General features: G+C 57.9%; 1 protein-coding gene across 1 annotated transcript in view, besides 3 other annotated features; it reads right to left on the minus strand.

Annotated features, from left to right (window-relative positions):
• The window catches only part of SLC12A7 (solute carrier family 12 member 7), a 105516-nt gene extending 84555 nt beyond the window's left edge, over positions 1-20961 (minus strand). Inside the window, exon 1 of the mRNA XM_011513941.3 lies at positions 20736-20961. Within this exon, the coding sequence (XP_011512243.2) occupies positions 20736-20928 (193 nt within the window). The 5' untranslated portion in view covers positions 20929-20961. The remainder of the gene's footprint in view (positions 1-20735) is intronic.
• Positions 2232-2764: an enhancer, noted in NCBI's record as "H3K4me1 hESC enhancer chr5:1137285-1137817 (GRCh37/hg19 assembly coordinates)". NCBI's record gives its function as "activates a minimal SCP1, AML or CMV promoter by ChIP-STARR-seq in primed H9 embryonic stem cells {active_cell/tissue: H9 hESC(primed)}" and the evidence as "EXISTENCE:reporter gene assay evidence [ECO:0000049][PMID:30033119]".
• Positions 5556-6399: an enhancer, noted in NCBI's record as "H3K27ac-H3K4me1 hESC enhancer chr5:1140609-1141452 (GRCh37/hg19 assembly coordinates)". NCBI's record gives its function as "activates a minimal SCP1, AML or CMV promoter by ChIP-STARR-seq in naive H9 embryonic stem cells {active_cell/tissue: H9 hESC(naive)}" and the evidence as "EXISTENCE:reporter gene assay evidence [ECO:0000049][PMID:30033119]".
• Positions 17376-17901: an enhancer, noted in NCBI's record as "H3K4me1 hESC enhancer chr5:1152429-1152954 (GRCh37/hg19 assembly coordinates)". NCBI's record gives its function as "activates a minimal SCP1, AML or CMV promoter by ChIP-STARR-seq in naive H9 embryonic stem cells {active_cell/tissue: H9 hESC(naive)}" and the evidence as "EXISTENCE:reporter gene assay evidence [ECO:0000049][PMID:30033119]".
• Positions 20962-23723: the final 2762 nt, after the last annotated feature.

A 23723-nucleotide genomic window follows, 5' to 3' on the forward strand; every position in this document is an offset into this window, starting at 1 on the left:
CAACATGGTGAAACCCCGTCTCTACCAAAAATACAAAAATTACCTGGGTATGGTGGCGGGGGCCTGTAATCCCAGCTACTCGGGAGGCTGAGGCAGGAGAATCGCTTGAACCCGGGAGGCAGAGGCTGCAGTGAGCCGAGATCTCACCACTGCACCCCAGCCTGGGCGACAGGGCAAGACTCCATCTCAAACAAAAGACATTCACCTTCCTGAGCCTCGGTTTGCTCATCTGTAAGATGGGGATGAGTAGATGGAAAATGAAAGGAGAAACATCTGGAAAGACTGTGGGGCCAGCCAGAACCTTCCTAGTAAGGAAATTGAAAGGTGCATTTGCAGCTGAGCCTGTGAGATTTTGACTAAACAGGCAGAGGGAGTTCCCAGGACCCAGGAAGTCAACCACACACAACCACCATGCTCCGTTTTCCAGGGCCTTGGACAAATGCCTCAACACTAGGCCCGTTTCCAGGGCCTTGGACAAATGCCTCAACACTAGCCATTCTCGCTCCAGCCCAGGTGCAGTCAACTGTGGGTGATGTCACCTGCGGCCCTCGTCCCCAGCCCTGCTGCCCCGGGATCCAGGGTGGCCATGGAGATACATGATGCTGGTCCCAGGGTTGAAGTCGCCACAGGGGTACAAAGACAGCTCCAAAACAAGTCTAGGGCGGTGCTTACCCCTAGTGCCATTTCTGTAAGTGTGAACATGTGCAAAGTGATGCCACACGCAGCTTCAGGTGCGTGCATGAGTGGTGACAGTGTGACGATATTCCTGGAAAGACAAACATCCCATTCAGGGTTTACTGAAGGCTCAGCTTAAGTCCCTCGCCCTGGTAAGGGCAGGAACACACCAGGTCTCTTGCAGAGGAGTGCAGTTTCACAGCTGGTGGGTTTTCCAAAAATATCTTCAAGAGTTTGACAAACAGTGCCAGCTTGGACTGCACCATCCCCACATCCAAAACGCACTCCCCGTTTCCCTCAACCTCCCTGCTCATCCTGTAAGTTTCCCACAGAAATGGTGGCCTCGTCGGCCCTGCGGGGTGCAGGGGTAAGCAGCACACCATCTCCAGGCCTGGCTCGGGTCCAGAGGACACGGATGCACATTGCCCCTTGATTCATGCTGAGATTCCCATGTTTAAGCAAACAGCTGCTGATGAGAAGGTTCAGAGGCCATGGAAGAGGAGACTGCGGAGAGGCCACAGGAGGAGGGAGAATCGTGGCCGTCTCTGCTCCTGCAGGCACTGCTGTGCGGCTTTGTCCTCCCAAGGAACCATCCGTGCAATAGAGGGAAACACTCCACTGTCCCTCCAACCCAGCTCCGAGAAATCACGACTCCTCCTGACACCCACCAAGACATGAGACACGACTGACACACAGACATGTGCACACACCCCAACACCAGGACACGCAGGCACACACGTGCTCAGACACCAACACCAGGACACGCAGACACACGTGTGCTCAGACACCAACACCAGGACACGCAGGCACACGTGTGCTCAGACACCAACACCAGGACACGCAGGCACACGTGTGCTCAGACACCAACACCAGGACACGCAGGCACACACGTGGTCAGACACCAACACCAGTACACGCAGGCACACGTGTGCTCAGACACCAACACCAGGACACGCAGGCACACATATGCTCAGACACCACCAGGACACGCAGACACACGTGTGCTCAGACACCAACACCAGGACACGCAGGCACACATGTGCTCAGACACCAACACCAGGACACGCAGGCACACACGTGCTCAGACACCAACACCAGGACACGCAGGCACACGTGTGCTCAGACACCAACACCAGGACACGCAGGCACACGTGTGCTCAGACACCAACACCAGGACACGCAGGCACACACGTGCTCAGACACCAACACCAGGACACGCAGGCACACATATGCTCAAACAGCAGGACACGCAGGCACACATATGCTCAAACAGCAGGACACGCAGGCACACATGTGCTCAGACACCAACACCAGGACACACAGACGTGCACACATACCACCAGGACACACACACATGTACTCACACACCACCAGGACACACATGTGCACACACACCAACAGCAGGACACACACACGTGCTCACACACTCCAACACCAGGACACACATGCAGACACACGTGTGTCTACAGCCAGTGTTTCCCAGCCCAGAGCTGGCTGCACAGAGCCACACCCAGCCACAGTGAGGCCGCTGCAGTCCCGGGTTTTCACCCCCTCAAGCTCACCCTGCCCCTACTCCAAGGATTCATGCCCCCATCACAGGCGGGGCCACCTGTGCCCTCTTCCCAGAGCACTCGAGGCCAGGCACGATCCGGAGCCACTTCCTGCGTAGCCCCCTCCATCTGTGCCCCGAGAAACCAAGGACTCCGAAGGACAAGGATCAGACCACGAATGACAAAGAACCTTGGCCCAGAGAGCCAGGACTCCATCCCTGACTGCCTGCCTCCCCACCTTGTTTCCTTACAGCTCAGCACCTGCCAGGGACGTCAAATACACCGCACCCAGCCCCAGGGGGTCCCCACTGCTAGAAGACCACCTTCAGCTCCAGCTACACCTTCCCTTCCCGTTGTCCACACCTTCCCCCTCCTCCTCAACCTGCCTGGACGTCCAGACCCCCCGAGCAGGCACTGAATGACCCCGTTCCCCTCCGGGTGGTCCCCACTCATGTCCATGGCCTCATCCTGGACTTGGCAAACAGGGCCCGCCCCAGGACTTCGCACGGCTGTCCTTGGGCCACACATCTGGGCGATTCGGGGCCGGGGCTCCTCTTCCTGGACATGGCCTCTGCAGGTCAGGCCCTCCCTGCTCGCCCAGGTGCGTCATCAGAACCCTTGGTCTGGCTGGCGGAGAAGACAGCACAAGCGCCTGGATCTGCCCCTCCCCCGGCACCAGCTCCCCGGGGCCTGGCGCACTGTGAGGAGAATCATGGATGTCGGCGCCAGCGCTGTGGAAGACACCCTAAGGGGGTCCAGTGAGCTGTGGCAGAAGGAGCAGTCTCTCTTGCCGGGCTGGTTCCTGGGCTCCTGGTTCCTGAGTGACCCTGGAGCAGGGATAGCCGCCGGCACCCGCCCCTCCTCTTCTCAGAAGTGGTCACGCTGTGTCCAGAGTTGGTTCCTTCCAGTGGGTTCTTGGTTTATGCTGACTTCAAGAATGAAGTCCCAGATCTTTGCAGTGTTACAGCTCTTAAACGTGGCACGGACCCAAAGAGTGAGCAGCAGCAAGATTTATTGCAAAAGGGGAAAAGCGGAAAAAAACACAAACCTTCCACATCATTGAAATGAACCCCAGGGCACCACCCACTGCCGGCGGGGTGGGGCAGGGCAGGGCGGCTTTTATTCCCTTATTTGACCCCACCCACATCCTGCTGATTGGTCCATTTTACAGAACACTGATTGGTTCATTTTACAGAGTGCTGATTGCTCCATTTTTACAGAGTGCTGATTGGTGCATTTACAAACCTTTAGCTACACACAGAGCTGCTCATTGGTGTGTTTACAATCCTTTAGCTAGACAGAAAAGTTCTACAAGTCCCCACCCTACCCAGAGGCCCAGCGGGCTTCACCTCTCAACCTCATAGGGCCTCCTCCTCTGTGTGCCTCTCTCCTCGTCTGTTTCTGATTTGCCAGTGGGCTTAGAGCCCGCTCACATAAACTGGGGCGACTTCAGCTGGAGATCTTTACCCCACATGCAAAGATTCTTTTCCAAATAAGGTCATATTCTCGGGTTCCAGGAATCAGGACATAGATGTAGCTCTTTGGAGGCCACCGTTTAGTTTACTACAAACCTTGAAACCAAAACAGGATCAAGGTCCAAACTTAGAAGGACTTGGGCTCCAGAGAGAGGCCCAGGAAGCTAAGCCCCACTGCCCGACACAGCCCTGTGTGCACAGTGGGAGCCCCAGGGTGTCTGTTCAACTGCAACACACAGCTTTCTACCAGGTCCTTAACACATGCTGGGTCCTAACATGTGCCCTGAGGTGAGCCGGGGATACTCGACTCCAGGGCACTGGCCAGAAGCCTTGGACCTGCACCCACCACCCAGGCCTCTGAAAGGAGAGCAAGCTGAAGTCTTGACTTTGAAACAGCTGCAGGGGTCGCCCCTCACCCAAGCTTGGGGTGGGGGGGGGGCTCTGGGCGGCAGCAGGTGCACTTTGGGAGCCTCCGATGGTCCCCACAGCTGGGCTCCCTCCTCATCCCCATGGGCGTAGCCCACCAGGTGGCTGCTGAGTCCTCATGGTCCGTAGGCAAGAGGAAGGGGGAAAGTGTGAGCCCTTGGCCTCCACGGCAGCCGGCTGGGATCCTGGCGGGGGACCCTCGCTGGTAACAGCATCTCCCCAGGACGTGCGGCCCCAGTGCCTGCACCCAAGCCCAGCCCTGGTGGGGAGCAGCCCCTGGAAGGCAGGAACCACTCCAGGCAAATGCAGCTGGTGCTCAGCTACATCCTCACGAGGGCCCTGGGCCCCAAACCAAGAGGCGGCTCAGCCTGACAGATGCGGTTCTGGGAGCTGGGGCGGTTGACACTGCCTGGGCCTTGCCGGCTTGGCCTTCTCTGAGGGGTGGTGTCCACACAGCAGCAATGGTGCCACATGCCGGAACCTGGAACCGAGGTTGCCTCGAGAACTGTTTGGGCAGTGGCCCTAGCGGGTGTGGGTGCCGGGAAACAGGAGGCAGAGTGGCCCCCATGTTCCTCTGTAGGCGTCCGCACAGCCTGCCTTCCCCGAGTGCACACGGCGAGCTTGCTTGACCCTGGGGTGGCCACGGCCCACTTTTGTGACCCACGTCCCTCCTCCCGGCAGGCCCCGTGTCTTTGGGGAAGGTGAGTAATTCTGAATCTGGTTCCCGAGCCCCACTTCCCAGTCTAGGGCCACTACGTCCCCACGGTTCTGGGACACTTGCTGAGACAAAGGCAGATTTTGTGAGTCAAAAGGGACTTTCCACATCTCCAAACGGCGTTTCCGGATGCATGGGCCTCAGGGCTCTGATCCCAAGAAGTGCCAAGAAGACCTCTGTGGTCACAGATGCGGACCAGGCCGGGACATGCTGGAAGGTGTCAGGACACGCCCGGCCTGCACCTCTGTCTCCCAGAGCATCCCAGGTCTCAGGGCATCAAACGCTCCGAGGTCGGTGACCAGGCACCACCGCCTTGGCCTCAACCAGCACCCCAGAGGCGCCGTCCTGCCCTCAGAAGGCCCCCCAGAAACGCTGTTTCCCATCGCTGGCTGGCTGTCTCGTACCAGCCGCTGCAGCCCCGGCCCACCTGCATGCAGGGAGCAGGGCCCCATGGGAACCCAGGCAGATCCCCCTCCTGAGAAAGGTGGCCCTGCCCCAGCCAGCACATCCCAGGCGATGAGGCATGTGATCCCCATGGCCCCTCGGGTGAATCCTGACCGCCAATCTGCACACACAGCCACACCTGCGTCTCCATCTCCCTCGGTTCTGTTCCCCCCCACCGGGTCTGGAAGACACTGGTAAGCAGGGGAGGAGGAAACAGGTGCAGCTCCAGCGAGGCGGTGCTCCCTGCTGGTGAGTGGGTGCCCCCTGCTGGTGAGGGGGGGTGCTCCCTGCTGGCTTCCCCTCCCCACAGCTGTCCCTGGAGGGAGGCGTCATTCTGTAAACAGGGAGATGGGGTTCAGGACGGTGCCAGCATGCCCAGCAATCCCGGAGTTCCCCGTGCTCAGGAACTCGCACCGCTGGCTCCACGCTCTCTACTCCAGTGGGACAAGAAAGCTCTGCTCACCAGGCAACGAGAGGCGCAAGGGCGGAGCCCAGGGCCCCGGGGAGGGCTCAGGTGGCTGGCGGAGGGGGTGCAGGGAAGGGAGATTCACCCAGGAGGGCCATTGACAAGCACTGGCTGGGGAGGGATGTGGTCACTGCACCGGCATGACAGCTCGGAGTAGCTTCTAGGTGACCACGCCATGGGAGAATGTTCTGAGGGGAACCCCTTGGGAGGCTCAGCATGAGGCAGAGCCGTTGGGGGCTGCAGCCAAGGTGGGCAAGCTGGGCCTGGGCCAGTTCAGAGCAGCCAGGCTGAGGGGGAGGGTGGACACGGGACGTTTATACCAATACGCTCGGGCCGCTGTGGAAATGAGTGCAGCCAGGCTGTGCACACCACAGACACGTCTCGAAGCCTCGGGCCTGAAGTCCCAGGTCAGTGTGTGGCTGGGCTGCTCCCCTGAGCTGTAGGCGGGCACCGGTTCCGGCCTCTTCTTGGCTTGCAGGCCCCAGCTTCTCCCTGTGTCTCTGTATCGTCCCTGCTCTGTGAGTGTCTATTTCTGTGTCCAAATTCCCCCTTTTAATAAGGACACCCGTTATATTGAATTAGGATGCACCCCTGTGAGCTGTCACTTGATGACCTCTGCAAACAGCTCCCTCCCAATACCATCACATTCTCAAGTGCTAGGCAGTAGGACCCCCAGTCCTCTCCCAGTCCTAATGGAGAGATGTCACTGAGCCTGTAACTTGGCTGTCCCAGCCGTCCCTGCTGCCACGGGCACCACAGCCGCCATGGGCACCAGAGCCGCCACGGGCACCACAGCTGTCCCTGCCTCCCTCTCTGTGCTCTCCCCTGGCTTGTTTTCTGTATCTCCTGGGATGGAGGCTCCCTGGGGACTGTCTTCCCCACTGTGTCCTCAGCACCCAGACCTCACTGGGACAGCAGCCACTAAGCTTGTGTGGTCACTGAAGTTTATATTTAAGTTAAAATTTTTTTTAAAAAATGAAGAATCCAGGTCCTCAGCCACAGCAGCTACAGCTCAAGTGCCGATAGCCACATGTGGCCGGTGGCTGCTGCATAGGACAGCGTGGACAAGGAATAACTCCGTTGGTGCAGAGAGGCCACTGGACACTCAGGCAGAGACAAGAGGGTTCGCCGGGACAGATCAACAGATGAACAAATTCAGAACAAAATGCTTAGTGAGGGAGAAGTGAACTTTCATTTTGCCCAAGTCACCATTATCATGGGTGCTGCTGGCAGGATCAGACCTGGTCATGTGGAGTCTGAAGTGCTCCCAGCCACCAACTGTGGCTGTTGCTTAGAGATACCCCTCTTCCCTGCAGCCCTGCAGGACTTCCCGGGGCTTCCTGGCCTCCACCTTTGCTTCTGGTGCTAGAGGCGGGGCAGGTGGCGTCAGGGTGGCCACTCCCCTCCCCAGAGCTGCACTGGGCCGCAGTCAGTTCACCCGGCCACCCCTGGCAGCATCTCTGGGCCCCAGACAGGGCCCCTCCATACAGAGCCCAGACGCTCCACAGGGCAGGGGCAGCCCAGCCCTATAAGCCCTGGTGCCCCCATAATCAGGAGGAAGAAAACCTCCCCCGTCTCCTGTCCCCTCTCTCCCCTCTCCCCTCCCCCCTCGCCCCTCCCGTCTCCCCTCTCCCCTCTCTCCTCTCCCCTCTCCCCTCTTCCCTCTCCCCTCTCCCCTCCACCCTCTCCTGTCTCCCCTCTCCCTTCTCCCCTTTCCCCTCTCCCCTCCTCACTCTCTCATCTTCGCTGTCCCCTCCCCTCTCTGCCCTCCACTCCCCCCTCCCCTCCCCCTCCCCTTTCCCCTCCCCACTCCCCTCTCTCCCCTCTCCCCTCTCTTCCCTGTTCTCTGCTTCTCTGTGTGTGTCTCTCTCTCTGTCTCTCTTTCTGTCTCTGTCCATCTGTCTCTGTCTGTTTTTCTGTCTCTGTGTCTCTGTCTCTCGCTGTCTCTGTCTGGCTGTCTCTGTCTCCCTGTCTCTCTGTCTCTGTCTCTGTGTCTCTCTCTGTCCCCCTCCCCTCTTCCTGAGCCACTGCCCAGAACTCCAGGCAGGAGGTGCTCACGGCCCTCCCCACATCTTCCCCCTAGAATACCCGTGACCATCAGCTGCCCCCCCCATACACACCCCTCCCCTCCAATCCCAAACTCACTCAGAGCCCCTGTTCTTTGGGCAACGTGCTCAGAACTCAGGGGAGGTAAGGGGGAGTAGGTCAGCAGAAGAGGAAATGGACTTTCCTGGCCCATTCTCCATCCTGGGAGGGCACTGGGCCCTGGGCCCCAGGCCCCGGGCCCCGGTATTCATGGTAACGGGGGCTGAGAGGCGGCCAAAGAAGGCTTGTTCCCGTGCCGGGCACCACAGAGCTTACGGCTCCATCTGTGACACGGGCCTTCCTTCCCTGAGGGCCCCAACACAGCCTCCTGGGCAACATGCCCCTCCATCCGCAGGGTCAGAAGCCGCAGCTCAAGGATCACCTGCGGAAGGTGGCATTTCCCAAGACCGGAGCTTCCCGACATCCCGCCACCTCCCGCAGCGCTGGTGCCAGTCCTGTCGGATAAGGGGCAAGTGTAAGACCGGCCTCATCAGCTCCAGCAATTGTAACAAAGCGCCATGGGCGGGGGCTTCAACACTAGAAATTGTTCCCTCGCAGCCTGGGGGCTGGAAGTCCCAGACCAAGGGGCTGCTGGGCGGTTTCTCCCAAGGCCTATTCATGGCCCGCAGACGGTGGCTTCTCCTGTGTCCTCCCACGGCCGCTCCTCTGCACACACGCATCCCTGGTGTCGCTTTCTCTTCTTACAAGGACACGTCCTATTGGGTCAGGGCCTTCCTCACAACCTCATTTAACCTTAAGTCCCTCCCTCAAGGTCCTAGCTCCAGATACAGTCCCGTTGGGGCTGGGCCTCAGCTGCGAATCTGGGGGCACGACTCAGTCGGCAGCTGTCTGTGTCCTGCATGCGCCTCCACTGACCTTCCCAGGGTTCTCCCTGTGTCCTGGTGCTGCTTCTTCACCCAGAGCGCTGCCACCCACTGCTGAGCTTCAGACATGTGACCTGCCCAGTCCCCTCTGCAAGCCCTGCACCTTCCTCAGTACCAACCAGCAAACCCGTGGCTGCACCGGGGCCAGCAGACACTCTCGGGCAGAGTGCTGGGCACCCTGGCCTCCTGGGCACCCTGGCGCTTGGCACCCTGGCCTCCTGGGCACCCTGGCGCTGGGAAACCTGGCCTCCTGGGCACCCTGGCGCTGGGAAACCTGGCCTCCTGGGCACCCTGGCGCTGGGAAACCTGGCCTCTTGGGCACCCTGCCCTCCTACCCCTGGCTGGCTCGGGCGGCTGTCACCAGTGTGTTCTAAGACTGCAGCCCAGAACCAAGAAATAGGGAGGGGGCGAACAGCCCTGCAGGGAGGGGCACACCCGCCAACCTCAGAGAGGGGACCTGGACGCACCCACCACCCTCAGGGAGAGGACGTGGACGCACCCACCAACCTCAGGGAGGGGACCTGGACGCACCCGCCAACCTCAGGGAGGGGAAGTTGGCCGGCGCAGCGCCGGGTGGCGGGAGAGGATGGTGTCTGGGGCTTACGCCATGCCCAAGCTCCCACAAGGCAGGGGCCCACGTCCCGGGCTCCACGCCAGGGCCTTGCTCTGCCAGGGCAGCTCAGGGCAGCTCCGACAAGGAGTGGCCCCTTTGAACGAGATCCTGGAGAGTCAGGGTTTTCACTCCAGCTTTAAACCAGTTGCTCCCAGGCCGCCGCCACTGCCCCCACCCACCTGTTCTTGGTCCCAGCATCATCATGACAATTTGGGGGCAGGAATTCAACTGTGGAACGGGAGGAGCCCTCAGCTCCGGGTCACGCTGGGTGGAGGGCACGGTGAGGTCACGCTGGGTCATGGTGAGCTGGTGAGGCAGGCAGCCTGGTGGGCACCCGCCTTGAAAATGACCCCTCAAACCAGCGGACCGCACCACACTTTACAATTGAGTACAGCTATTTATCCATTAACACCTGTACCACTTCCAGACCAACAGATCACCAGGCTGCAGTGGGGACATGTGAGAAAATTACAGGCAAGGAAGCAAAGACTAGAACCAGGTGTGTCTCTGAGTTCCAGCCCTGCTGAAATGCCCGTCTGAATAAACAGGGGCCACTGCCATCCCGGCTGCGCATGCACAGGCCTCCGAGCGGCAGAAAGCAGGGATGACACCAATGTGGCTTTAAACCAGTGTTCAATTCCCATGGCTGATTCGGAACGTCCTGAGGCAAAACGTGAAGTTTACTGCATCCGAGGAAGGAAGTGCAGCACCCACAGCAGCAGCCAGCACCACTGGACCAACCGGGCCGGGGCTGGGGAAGGAGCATGTGCTGTCGGCACGGCCAGGCCGGGCCTGGAGGGCTGGAGAGAGCCTGCGTGGGACAGCAGCTGGAGGCCGCAGGGGGCCCAGGGATCACCCCTTCTTCAAAGGGAACCTGGCCGAGAACTCGGCCCTCACACTTGGGTGTGGGGTCTCTGGAGACAGGACAGTGAGTGGCCACAAGGGCCAGGCAGGGGCCGCTGCCAGTGGGCCTGGAAGACCAGCGAGGGCTCATGTCCATCACACGGTCTGTGCAGTAAATGATGGCCGGTTCCGCAGACCCCCTCCCTGTGGGGACACAGCTGCTGGGGTGGTCACCCCTCCCCCTAATTCCCAGCTGAGGTGCCCCTGCAGAAGCCCCGAGTGCCCAGCGGGGTAATTGCGGCCAGGTGCTTGCTCTTGGAGCACTGAGGAGCCATCGGAGGCTGCAGGCTGCCTAGCGGCCAGGCTTGCTGCCCCTTCCTGGAATCTGCCCACAGGAAGTCAGAGGCTGCCAGCCCCTTCACTGACCTTTCCAGGACCAGCCAGGAAGGGCTCACAAAGGATGTTATTTGAAACAGGAAGGTCCCTGGACAAAAATATCTCTTCCAAGAGGCCTGAAAGAGCACCTTGCAGAGAGTAATTTAGATTAAACAGGACCCCCTCCCTGGAGAGCCTGCCTAGGTGTGAATTGATTTAATCAAACTGGCCTCCTCTCAGAAAACTAGAGGCCAGGATCAAGCGCCTCTGTCCTCTGCAGAAGGAAGGGGCTGGGGGTGCGGGAGGGTTTAGTTTATCTCTAGGCCCCTACTGTCTGCTTGCATTTTCTTTTTGGTATTTTTTGTATTGTGATAAAATACACATAACATTTTACCATTTTTACCATTTTTGGGTGAGCAGTTCAGTGGCATTAAATGCAGTCACAATGCTGTAAAACCATCACCGCCATCCTTCTCCAGAACTTCCTTTGCAAAACTGCAGCTCTGCACCCATTAAACTGACTCCCATTCCCCTCCCCCAGCCCCTGGCAGTCCCCGTTCTGCCTCCGTCTCCCAGAATTTGACAACTCCAGGCTCTGCCTGCAACTGTTATTCTGCAGGATTGACCTTTCTGTGTCTGGCTGCCCCATCCCTCCTCATTCCCAAAGGCTCTCCCTGGAACCTGCTCCCAGCAGGAGGGGCCATTCCCTGGTCACCCACCTTCTTGAGGCTCCTCTGGGAGAGTCTCCAGGTCTGTGATGAGACCTCAGGGACCTGCCAGCAGGTGGGCTTTTGGAGTGGAGTTGTGGGAGCCCAGATGCTGGTGACCCCTGGAGGTGACCACCTGGGCCAGTGACCACGGACCTCCAGGCCTGGGTCCCTCTGACCTGGCCGTGGAATGAAGCCTGGGGTGCCTGCATGTGGGTGGGAGCAGTGGTGGCCTGCTGAGAGGTGTTCAAAGCCATCTCTGCAGTGTAAACAAAAAATAAAATTCTAAGGCTCCTCCCCGACCGTCTGGATGGACCCCTCCTCTGGGCCAGGACACCCCAACGTTAACCAGAAAGACTGCTTCAGGCCACGACGGGAAGCGGTGGTCGGCCATGCCTCATGCCGCCCTCCTCCCTTTCGGAATTTAGGAAAAGCCGACCAGCAGTAACATCAACACAGACCTTAAGTCTGGTAAGAAACACCATACAATCTCTTCTCTCTGGAGCCTGCTACCTGGAGGCTTCACCTGCATGATGAAACCTTGGCCTCCACAGCCCCTTACCCTAACCCAGACAATCCTTTCTATTGATAGTAACTCCCAAACAATTGCCAATCAGAACATTTTTAAATCTACCTATGACCTGGAAGCCCCACTTGGAGCTGTCCCGCCTTTCTGGACCTGACCAATGTATATCTTAAATGTCTCATGCCCGCCTGAACTAAGGCCCAGCTGCACCCGCCCACCTCCCGAGGGCCGTGTCACTGCACAGTCACTCTGTGTGGCTCAGAATCAATCTCTTCAAATATTTCACAGACTTTCGCTCTTTTCATCGACAGGCTTATTTCGTTCACACAATGTCCTCAGCCTCCATCCATGTGGCAGTGTGTGTCTGAATTTCCTTTCTTTTGTAAACTAAAAACAAAATCCAAAGTCCCACAGACAAATGAACGGAACACCCCTCTTGGACAAGGGGACCCAGGGCAACAGGAAACACTAAATTCCCACGGTGACAGAAGGGAGGAGGGACTCTCCTCATCACGGCCCACCCCGCCACCCCCCCCGCCCCCGCCTTTAGGAGTTCAGGTGCAGCTGACCCACACTAACTCCAAAATAGTTATCCAAAGACGGCAGAACAGACTCTGTGGCGGTAAGACCCCAAATCCAGCCTGACCCTGGTATAGAGACCCACCGAGAGTCCCTCCGACCCGGAGAGACCCGCCGAGGGTCCCACACCCGGAGAGACCCGCCAGGAGTCCCCACACATTTGAAGGCCCTGCCTGCCCTCTGTCCTCTCGGGGCCGCCTCCTGGAGGCTTCTACGTCACCAGCACCTTGGTCTCCACAGCCCCTCAGCTGAAGCCAAGTGATTCTTTCCACCCACTGCAAGCCTTCACGTCTTCAGCTTAACTCTTTCACCCAAATACTAATCAGAAAACATTTAAATCTCTCTGCTCCCCTTCAAGATGTCCCTCATTTCCCACCGAATCAATGTATACTTTCCATGTACTGATTTATGCCTTTGCCTGTAACTTCTTTATTTAATTAAATTAATTAATTACTTTTTTGAGACAGGGTCTCACTCTGTCACCCAGGCTGAGAGTAGTATCTCAATCACAGCTCATTGTGGCCTTGACCTCCCGGACTGGAGCCTCAGCTTCCCAAGCAGGTGGGACCGTGGGTGTGCACCACCACGCCTGGCTAATTTTTAGAAAATTTTTTGTAGAGACGGGATCTTGCTATGTTGCCCAGGGTGGTCTTGAACTCCTGTAGGGAAACAATTCCCCCACCTCAGCCTCCCAAAGAGCTGGGATTATGCCTCGCCTGGCTTTGCCTGTAACTTCTGTCTCCCTGAAATGTATACAACCAAACTGTAACTGCCTCAGGCACAGGCTCTCAGGCCCTCCTGAAGCTGTTTTCTGGGCCATGGTCACTCACATTGGCTCAGAATAAACCTCTTTAAATATTTTACAGAGTTTGCTTTTTTTTGTTGATACTTTTTTCTTTCTTTCTTTTTTTTTTTTTTTTTTTGAGATGGCGTCTCGCTCTGTCACCCAGGCTGGAGTGCAGTGGTGCGATCTCCACTCACTGCAAGCTCCGCCTCCCAGGTTCACACCATTCTCCTGCCTCAGCCTCCCTACTAGCTGGGACTACAGGCGCCCACCACCACGCCCGGCTAATTTTTTGTATTTTAGTAGAGACGGGGTTTCACCATGTTAGCCAGGATGGTCTCTATCTCCTGACCTTGTGATCCACCTGCTTTGGCCTCCCAGAGTGCTGGTATTACAGGCGTGAGCCACCGCACCTGGCCTTTGTTGATACTTTTTAAGGCTAAATAATATTCCACTACATGTACTATCAAAATGTTATACAAAATTATAACAAATTTAGCTGTAGATTGAATTGGCCTTTATTCTCGATTCACGAATGGGGCAGCCTCAGTCGAGGAATGAGAGCTCCCCCTGGGCAATGGCCAACAGTGGGTTTTGTAAAGTGGGTACAGGGACACGGAACAGAAGAAAGGCTGACGGTTGACATCGGGTTCCCTCAGGTTCCTTGTTGTAAGGGTTAAAGCAGAGGGACTTCCTTTGTACACTGACCAGGTAGACTGCAGTCTCCTGTTTTCAGAAAAAACTGGTCAGCTTTGGGATCTATCTGCTTCCTTAAAGTTTCAGTTTGATGATGCCATTTAGCCTTCAGGCCAAACCAAAATGGAGTGATGTATTGGGGCCTGGTGTAGGAGCTCCATTCAAAACAACAGCTGCCCATAATTTTTGTTTAAAAGTACATGTCACATTTTATGAATCCGTTCATCCACCCACGGACAACTGGGTTGCTTCCACCTGTGTCTACCGTGAATGATGCTCCCAGGAACATGGATGTGCAAATGTCTCTCTGAGCCCCTACACCCAGAAGGGGGACTGTGGATCCTACGATGCCGCACCCAGAAGGGGGACTGTGGATCCTATGATGCTACCGTGTGAGCTTCTGACATCTGTTTTCCAGCCATGCCACTTTACATTCCCACAAGCAGCGCACAAGGGTCCCCACTTGTAACATCCTCACCAACACGGTATTGTCCATTCTAAAAATAAGAGCCTGGCCAGGCGCGGCGGCTCACACCTGTAATCCCAGCACTTTGGGAGGCCAAGGTGGGCAGATCACTTGAGGTCAGGAGTTCGAGACCAGCCTGGCCAACATGGCGAAACCGCATCTCTACTAAAAATATAAAAATTAGCCAGGCGTGGTGGCAGGTGCCTGTAATCCCAGCTACTCTGGAGGCTGAGGCAAGATAATCACTTGAACCCGGGAGGTGGAGGTTGTAGTGAGCCGAGATGGTGCCACTGCACTGCGGCCTGGGCAACAGAGAAAAACTCCCTCTCAAAAACAAATAAATTAAAAAAAATAAAAATAAGAGCCATTCAAATAGTTGTGAAGTGGTGTCTTCACAATTATTAGTGTTGATTTGCATTTCTCTAGTGATTAGGGATGTGAAGCATCTCTCCATGTGCTTATTATCATTTGTGTATCTTTTTGAAGAAATGGCTATTCAAGCCGGGTGCGGTGGTTCACATCTGTTATCCCAGCACTTTGGGAGGCCAAGGTGGGCGGATCACCTGATGTCAGGAGTTTGAGACCAGCCTGGCCAACATGGTGAAACTCCGTCTCTACTCACAATACAAAAAATTAGCTGGGCATGGTGGTGCACGCCTGCAATTCCAGTTACTCGGGAGGCTGAGGCAGGAGAATCGCTTGAATCTGGGAGGTGGAGGTTGCGGTGAGCTGAGATCGTGCCATTGCACTCCAGCCTGGGCAACGAGAGCGAAACTCCACCTCAAAGAAAAAAACAACAACAATAAAAACAGAGAAATAGCTATTTAAGCCCTTTTCCCATTTTTAAAAGGGTGTATTTGTTTGCTGTTGCTGTTGAGTTGTAGGAGTTCTTGGCATCCTCTGGGTATGAACCCCTCATCAGCTCTATGATTTGCAAATGCTCTCTCCCATCCCGGGAGCTGTTCTTCTACTCTGTGTGTGTCCTCTGATGTGTGTTTGCATTTTTTTTAGTCTGTGCTTGTAGTTTCCTCTGCCCCTCCCCCGACCCCGATAGAGCCATGCAGGAGCCGACATCCATGCACACACACCTGCCCCCTAACCCCATCCCTCATTTTCAGGGCACAGGCCTCGACCAGAGGAACAGAGGAGGCACCTGGGTGGAGCCCTGCACCAAGGCCCAAAGGCCCAGCCCACAGTGAGGACCCCAACTCATGCCACAAGCAGCTGAGCTGCAGGATCTCTTCCGAATATTCAAGTCTTTATTTAAAGAAAATTCTGGTGTATACATGGAGCTGGTGTCTCAAAACCCAGGTCCCCTCCAGTGGAAAAAGAAGCCAAATTAAACACTAAATAGCAAAGAACAGAAAGGATGGACATGCGTTCAAGCATTTTCTTTTAAAGCCAAAATTAAAATCACTGAGTCGAGACTTCTTTAAGAGCAAAGTGACAAAACGCAAGCTTGTCCTGCTCCACAGATAACTAGAGGCAGCTCATGGATGAACACGACGGCCGAGCTCCATGAAATATTTAAGCAAAAAGAAAACAGAGCCTGCCCCGTGGGGCTGGCAGGTTTTCAGACACCAGAACCAGTGGCCTCCGCCTGGGATCTGCACACCACGTTTCTGAGTGGCCCAGGAGGGCACGCAGAAGCAGCCTGGTGGTCTGATTTTCCCAACAAGGAGAGCATGCAGCCAGCTGAGGACATGGGATTTTCCTGAGGCTTTCCCCCATCAGAAGGCAAAGGCTGAGGGGGCAGCCCACTCTCCTGTGGTCCACGGATGGGGAGGGCGGCCTTGGGAGCTGGACGGAGATGGCGGGGCCAGAGCCTCACTGCTGTGCCAGCAGGGTCTGGGCCCATGGGTGGTACCCAAGGATCCTCCTGTTCCAGATCCCCGGGATCCCAGCTCACAAAGCTCAGGCTTGCAAAGGCGCCTTCTACCATGAGCGTTGCTTCCCAGCCAGAGCAGTTTCCAAGGCTCAGGCAACGAACTCTTCACCTTCTCCTTAAGCGGCAAAAACCCAACACGCTCCACAGAGATGCAGACATCCACTCACACACAGAGACACACAAAGAAACCTCAGCCTGGCCTCGGCACACATCTCATTGAAGATGTCAGTGGGCGCCGTTGCTAAGCTGGCGTCTGCAGGGGCCCGGCCTCTGCCAGCCCCAGCACTAGGGGAGGGTTCCTTTGGCCTCCCAGAGTGTTCTGGGCTGCACACAACCCTCCAGGTATAATTATGAGCGTCTGTAGGGCTCTGATGGCCCCACCAGCCATAACAACAGCTGCAGGGAACAAAAGGCCCAACCCTCTAATCAGGGACTCAGAACTGGTCTCTGTCCCAGTGCCAGGGGTGAAAACCACCAGAACCAACCGGTGCCAGAAGGGTCCGACAGGCTGAGGGACCCTGAGTTCCAGCCTGCCCATCCTCTAGAGCAGGCTCAGTGCAGCCCGGGAGGCGGGGGGCAGGGGGTGGGTGGTGAGGGGCGCACAGCTTGTGCTCCCCCTCAGCTGTGGCCTTGAGCCACTTGGACCTCCCTGAACGTCCTGTCCTCTGGGCAGCCTCCTGCACACGGCTCTCCTTGCAGGCTGGGAACCTACCTTTCCTCATCCCTTCCGGGTCTGGGGGCACGCCAGGTGACGAATCCTGCCATGTCCTGATAGCTGGATCTGGGACCCCGCTGAAACCGTCCCACAGAGGAAGCTACATGGGGGCTGTCATCGGCATCCCTTCACTGGGAAAGAGGGTGCAGTCACATTCACCTTCTGGAGCCTCTGGAACCATCTGTGAAATGGTCCTATCAATGCCGAGCTGGACCTTCCCACAGGGCCAGGGGGCTCTGCCATTGCCTGGTGCTCCCTGTCTCCCCTCCCCTCCCCTCTCCTTTGCTTTGTGAAATGGCCAGCCCCATCACCTCCCAGCTGGACCCTCCCACAGGACTAGGAGGCTGTGCGATCGTCTGGTGTTCCCCAGCTCATCTCCCCTCTGCCCTGCACACCCGGCCACCCACCCTTGTGCCCACGGAAGATGCCACAGTGTGCAGGGGGCAGTCATGCCTGCAAGGCTGACTCTGCGGCCGGCCACCAACTGAGTGTAGAAGCCACAGGCTGCTCCCTGCTGAGCAGGAAGTGGCACCACCCTCCTTGATGCAAAAACATAGCCGGAAAGCCCCTGTCAGACCTGCCTGTGCCCGTGGGCTCACCCAGCAGGACCGAGGGGGATGCTGGCACAGGGCGAGAGTCCCAATGGCATGTTTACATCCTGTGGCAGAGAGAAGGGACCCATCCCCTAGAGAAGGGAGACCTCCCTGGTAAGGGAGATCCCCCAAGCTAGAGAAGGGAGTCCCCCAAGCTAGAGAAGGGAGACCCCCAAGCTAGAGAACGGAGACCCCCAAGCTAGAGAAGGGCGACTCCCTTACAGAACGGAGACGCCCCCCGGACCATGCACTGCCTCAGCACCGACACACCCCAGCCATTCTCAGCAAAGTCAACTGAGTACAAAGTCGGTGTGGATTCCTGCATTGAAAACTGAGGGATGACCGACACGGGGGAGGCCTGCGGGGATTACTGACTTATCCCTGGGGCCTGTGAGCAGAGAGGAGCTGTCTCTGGAGGATTAGAAAGTTCATCTGATCACCAGGCCACACATCTGCAAGGGAAGGTCAGCCCAGGACAAATGGCCCGCCTGGCATGCAATTCCTGTGGCGCCCAACGCATGCCAATAAAATGTTTGTTTGCTTTTTTAAACTTGGTTTACATTGTCTTAATGGCACTGTTAAATAATAGGTCTTCTGTTCATATGTAGCGGGCACGACACAAAATCATTCAGCTGATGGTTGGCTGGAGCCATCCTCCTCCAACCCCCACAGGACTGGAGCCCAGCTGTCCACGGCAGCCAGGCAGCCGCATGGCCGTGGGCACAGGGTCTCTACCCCCGGGTGCTGACGTGGGAGGAGGGACGGGCTTGCCCAGTCCCTGGGCGGTCCAGCCCAGCCTCCAAGCACCCACCCCAAAGAGGAGATGAGGTGGGTGGGGGAATGCTAGGCCTGAACGGGGTCTCCCACCTGCTCCATCCAGGATTAAGGCAACACCTCCCTCCATGCCCACATGAATGTGCAAACATTCACAGCCTGAAGCAGGAAGGACAGATGAGTTCAGACCTTCACCTGCCCCCACACGCTTTCCTCAGGGGCCTCTGGGGGGGTCCATGGGCCAGTGTGCTGGGCACCCGGAGGAGAGGCCAAGGCTCCCTAGAAAGGAGAATGAGGCGTGGAGGAGACCAGTAGGGTCGGCCCGACTCAGGACCCTGTCCATGCCTGGGGTGCTGGCCCTGGCACTACAGAGCCAAGGAACAGCCCATGGGGAAGCCCCTGTTGCCACAAGCCGTGTTGTCAAACCATTTCCCCCGGAACAAACAAGGCCTGAGGACGCCCGAGAACCCTGCAGCCCTGACTTGGCGCTCTAGTTCACACTAACCGGCGACCTGCAGAATCACCAGCTCCTTTGTTGGCCTCCACAGAGAAAATCAAGAGGAACGTGCACCCTGGTGAGCAGGCTGACTTCAGAACTAGAGAGAAAACTTTGTGTGCATCTGGGGAGTGCCACACAGCAGCTGTTTGAAGACAGGGTCTTCCTTTAGGGAGGAGACCACAGCATCCTGTATCAGACATTGCAGGGCATGACCCTGGAGTCCAAGAAATGACTCCAGGCTCAGGAGAAGGACAGGGCTGGACCCGAGAGCCACAGCTGCCACCTAGAAGGGCAGGTGTCTCGTCCATCTCATCTCCACACGCATGTGTTCCCAACCCTAACCCTAACCGAGAATAACAAGTGTCCCATCCTTTTCATCTCCACACGCATGTGTTCCTGACGCTAACCCTAACCCACAGGAACAAGTGTCCCGTCCACCTCATCTCCACAGGCTTGTGTCCCTAACCCTAACCCTAACCCCTAACCCCTAATCCCAACCCTAACCCTAACCTTGTCTCCAAAGCGTGTGTGTCCACAACCTATCTAGGGCACTGAGCCGAATCCAACTGAGACACAGACCACAGCTCCCACCACACCCCTGTACCAATCCATGCAGTCCTGGACAACTGGTGTCCGCAACACACACACACACACACACACACACACACACACACAGAGACACATACAATGCACCACACACATCTAGACACAGACACACACTACACATAATATAGACACACACACCTCATATGCCATACACACACATATACACACATCACACTATAGACATATACACATACCACACAGCACACACATAGACACACACACGGACACACACAGGCGTGGACACTCACATGGCTCCCGGCAGTGCTGCAGGAGGTCAGCACAGAGACGTGCTGAGGAGCCTGAGATGCTCGCTCCTCTGGGCCATCGCGTGTAAAGGCTGCCCTCGCTGTGGACTCTCACATGTGTGACATACATGAACAGGCGAAACGGACACGCACGGCCCCCACACACGTGAGCTGGGTCCCCCAGGGCCCGTCGGAGCCCTTCTGCCTGGGACCTGCCTCATCCCCGGCCCCTCACAGGGCAAGACATCGCAGTAACCGCAGGTCTTCAGAGCAGCCTACCCTGGCCATGCCAGGCGGGAACAGCAGATGGACCCTCGGGGCACCCAGGTCCCACGAGAGAGTGACAGCTCAGGGACATCTGTCCTCGGGGCCCACGAGCTTTAAGCCCAAGCCAGGGTCCAGGCCTGGTGGCCTCTGTGTGGCCAAGGCTGGCGGGGGGCACTCCATGGTCCCAGGCAGGGCCCTCCTCAGCCCACTGGAAGCGGGCTTGGCTCTGGGTCCTCTGCCTCCCCCCGCCCCCGCCCCGCCCTCCCAGGCCCCTCGCCCACCTCAGGCTTCGGGACCCCCGTGTGAGCAGCGAGTGGTCAGGAGGACACGGTTCTGCTCCCCGCAGGGACGAACCCCCACTGCTTCCCAGATCTGCCGGGCCAGACCCCTGCCACCCTCCCGCGCTATAAATCATCAGATCACAGCCCCGCCCAAGGCCTCAGGGACCCGCCGTGGTCCCGAGAGAGGCAGCCCTGGACGAGAACAGGGCCCCTTTTCTGCCTGGTCCCCGCCCTCCCCGCGAAGTGACCCCGTCTGGACTCTGCAGCCGCGGGAACAGCGAGGTCAGAGGGCGCCCCGGGAGCTGTCGGCCCATCCCCGCGGCCCCTGCCCCGGCTCGGTGTCACCTGCAGGCCCCGGACAGGGCGGGATCCCCGCAGGGAACTGCCCCAGGTCCCCGGAGCGCGCGGCGGGCGGCAGGGGCGGGGCTCCGCTGGGCTGGGGGGACCCCAGGCAGGGACCGACCCCCGGGCTGACCGGGAGCCCCACCCCCGCCGGCCCGCCAGGCCGCCGCCGCCCACCTGCGCCCCTCGAGGGGACCGGCACCTGCGCGCACCTACCGTAGCGGCCGGGCTCGCGGCAGTAGAGCAGAATGGGAAGCGGGTCCTCGTCAGGCGGCTCGGGCGCGGCTGCGGGGTCCAGGCCGGGGTCGGGGGCCCGGCGGGGGCTCGGGGTGGGGCGCTGGCTGTCGCCTTCCTTGGCCCCGGGCCCCGCACCCCCCGCCGCGGGGGTCACCACGAAGCGCTGGGACATGGTGTCCGCGACGGCTGCGGGGAGCGGGGACCTGAGCGCGGGGAGGGCGGGGCCGGCGGGGCGGGCGCGGGAGGCCGGGAGGAAGGGAGGGAGGCCGGGGGGGAGAGAGGGACCGAGCGCACCGCCGGGGATGGGGCCGCGCGGCGCGGGGAGGGGCCGGGAGGGCGAGGCGGACTCCGGCTGACACCTCGGCAGCGGTCCCTGCCCGCGGGGGGACCACGGCCTCGGCCCCCGAAGAACGAAGAGCGGCCTCGGCTCTCGCTGCGTGACCTTGGAGACGCCCCAGCCGGGCGACCGGGTCAGCGCGCGGTGCAGAAGCCTGAGGGGAGGAACAGACCTCGCTCTGCGCCGCCTGGAACCGACGACGACCAACCCTGGCAGCAACGCTGCAGCCCGCGGTCTCTGGCGACGCCCACCGAGGGCCGGGACCAGGGGGCCGGTGAGGGTGGAGGTCTCGCTGGCCTTTGGGTCCGTGGGGAGGGGCGCCCTGATCTGGGGCCTCCACCTCCCCCATCCCCAGACTCCAGCCCTTGGCCAAGCAGGGTTCAGCCGTGCCTGCGTGCGAGGCAGAGGCCTCCTCCTGGGACTTCCACCTGGGGAGAAAGGCCTCCGGGGCAGCCAGGGTGGAAGGCGGAGGCCAGCCTGGCTGCGGAGGCGCTGGGAGCCGCGGACCCTAGAAGTCTTGGGAGACCCCGCCTGCTCTTCAGGGGTTCCTGCAACCACCGCAGCTGCACAAATTCTGCAACTGGCTCTTTCCTCCCCTCTAATGATGCTGTTGCCACCACCTTGCGTGGAAGTATTGAGCACTTTACAATATGTATTCACAGATTCAATAAATATTTATGAATGCTAACCTGTGCCGGGCCCTGCAGGTGACAGAAGGGAACCCCTGCCTCCGTGAAGTGTAGGTTCTAGAGGGAGGCAAGGGTAAGAGCTCTGAGGTGTGGGGAGGGCCTCAGGTGACATCTAGACAGTGACTTACAGGGAGCAAGTGGTCAGCTGTGCTGCCTCCAGTCATACTCTGCCCTCGTCGTCCACGGTGGCTGCTGCTGGTCCAGCCATCACATCTGAATCCCAGCAGTAGAGTGAGGAAACGGGAAAGGTAGCTAGCCACTCCTTCGCAGAGCACAGCCTAGGAAGCCTAGGAGTGCACATAGCACCTTCGCTTATCCTGTTAGCCAGAACTTAGTCCTGTGGCCACACCTTCGTGTGCAGAAGGCTGAGAAACACGCCTCACCCATGTCTGTGGTGCTATGGATAAGAAATCACCAGAGGCTGGGTCTCAAGGGCACAGCTAACACCAGTGGAAAGACCAGGGAGGATGAGAACTCCTTTCTTCAGCACATCCTCTCACCATCGCCCCACCTCCACTCATGTGGCACCGGCAGGCATGCCTGCTCACACCTGCCCACACTGGCTCACACCTGCTGACATCTGTCCACAGCTGTTCCAGCCCACTCACACCTACTCACCCCTGTGCCACCTGCCCACACCTGTTCCCATCTGCTCACACCTGCCCACACTGGCTCATACCTGCACACATATGTCCACACCTGTTCCAGCCTGCTCACATCTACTCACACCTGTTCCCACCTGCCCACACTGGCTCACACCTGCTCACATCTGTCCACACCTGTTCCAGCCTGCTCACACCTACTCACCCCTGTGCCACCTGCCCACGCTGGCTCACACCTGCACACATCTGTCCACACCTGTTCCAGCCTGCTCACATCTACTCACACCTGTTCCCACCTGCCCACACCTGTTCCCATCTGCTCACACCTGCCCACACTGGCTCACACCTTCACACATCTGTCCACACCTGTTCCAGCCTGCCCACACCTACTCACTCCTGTGCCACCTGCCCACACCTGCTCACACCTGTTCTCATCTGCTCACACCTGCCCACACTGGCTCACACCTGCACACATCTGTCCACACCTGTTCCAGCCTGCTCACATCTACTCACACCTGTTCCCACCTGCCCACACCTGCCCACACTGGCTCACACCTGCTGACATCTGTCCACACCTCTTCCCACCTGCTCAACCTTCTCACACCTGTTCCCACCTCCCCACACCTTTTTCCAAGATGAACTTTTGAATCATTTTTGGACGTTCCCCCCAAATACATTTCTGATTTGGTTGAAAAGTCACTAAATGTATAAATAAATTTGCTGAGAACTGACATCTTTATGGTGTCAAATATTTTCACCCAGGTCCTGCACATTTTTTCCATTAATTTATGTGTGTGTATTCACATTCTTGTCACTACTGGACTGACATGTAAAAACAGGATGAAACACCTTTGGCTGTTGTGTGTTTCTTTTGTAATCTTCTACCTTGCAGAACTCTAAATCCTATTATTCAAATACATTTCCAGTTCAACCTCTCGCATTTTGCAAGGAATTTTTGTTCTGTTTTGTTTTGTTTTGGAGACTGAGTCTTGCTCAGTCACCCAGGCTGGAGTGCAGTGGTGCGATTTTGGCTCACTGCAACCTCCAACTCCCAGGTTCAAGCAATTCTGCTGCCTCAGCCTCCCGAGTAGCTGAGATTACAGGTGCGAACCACGCCCGGCTAATTTTTGTATTTTAGTAGAGATGGGGTTTTGCCATGGTGGCCAGGCTTGTCTCGAACTCCTGACCTCAAGTGATCTGCCCACCTCGGCCTCCCAAAGTGCTGGGGTTACAGGCGTGAGCCACCGCACCCGGCGTGCAAGGAATTTTTTTAACCTGTAAGTAATGATATCGTTGTCCTTTTTTGTCATTTTTACCTCTTCTGTTTTCTTTTCACCCC

This window comes from Homo sapiens, chromosome 5 (assembly GCF_000001405.40).
Source record: "Homo sapiens chromosome 5, GRCh38.p14 Primary Assembly".
NCBI classification, from domain to species: Eukaryota; Metazoa; Chordata; class Mammalia; order Primates; family Hominidae; genus Homo; species Homo sapiens.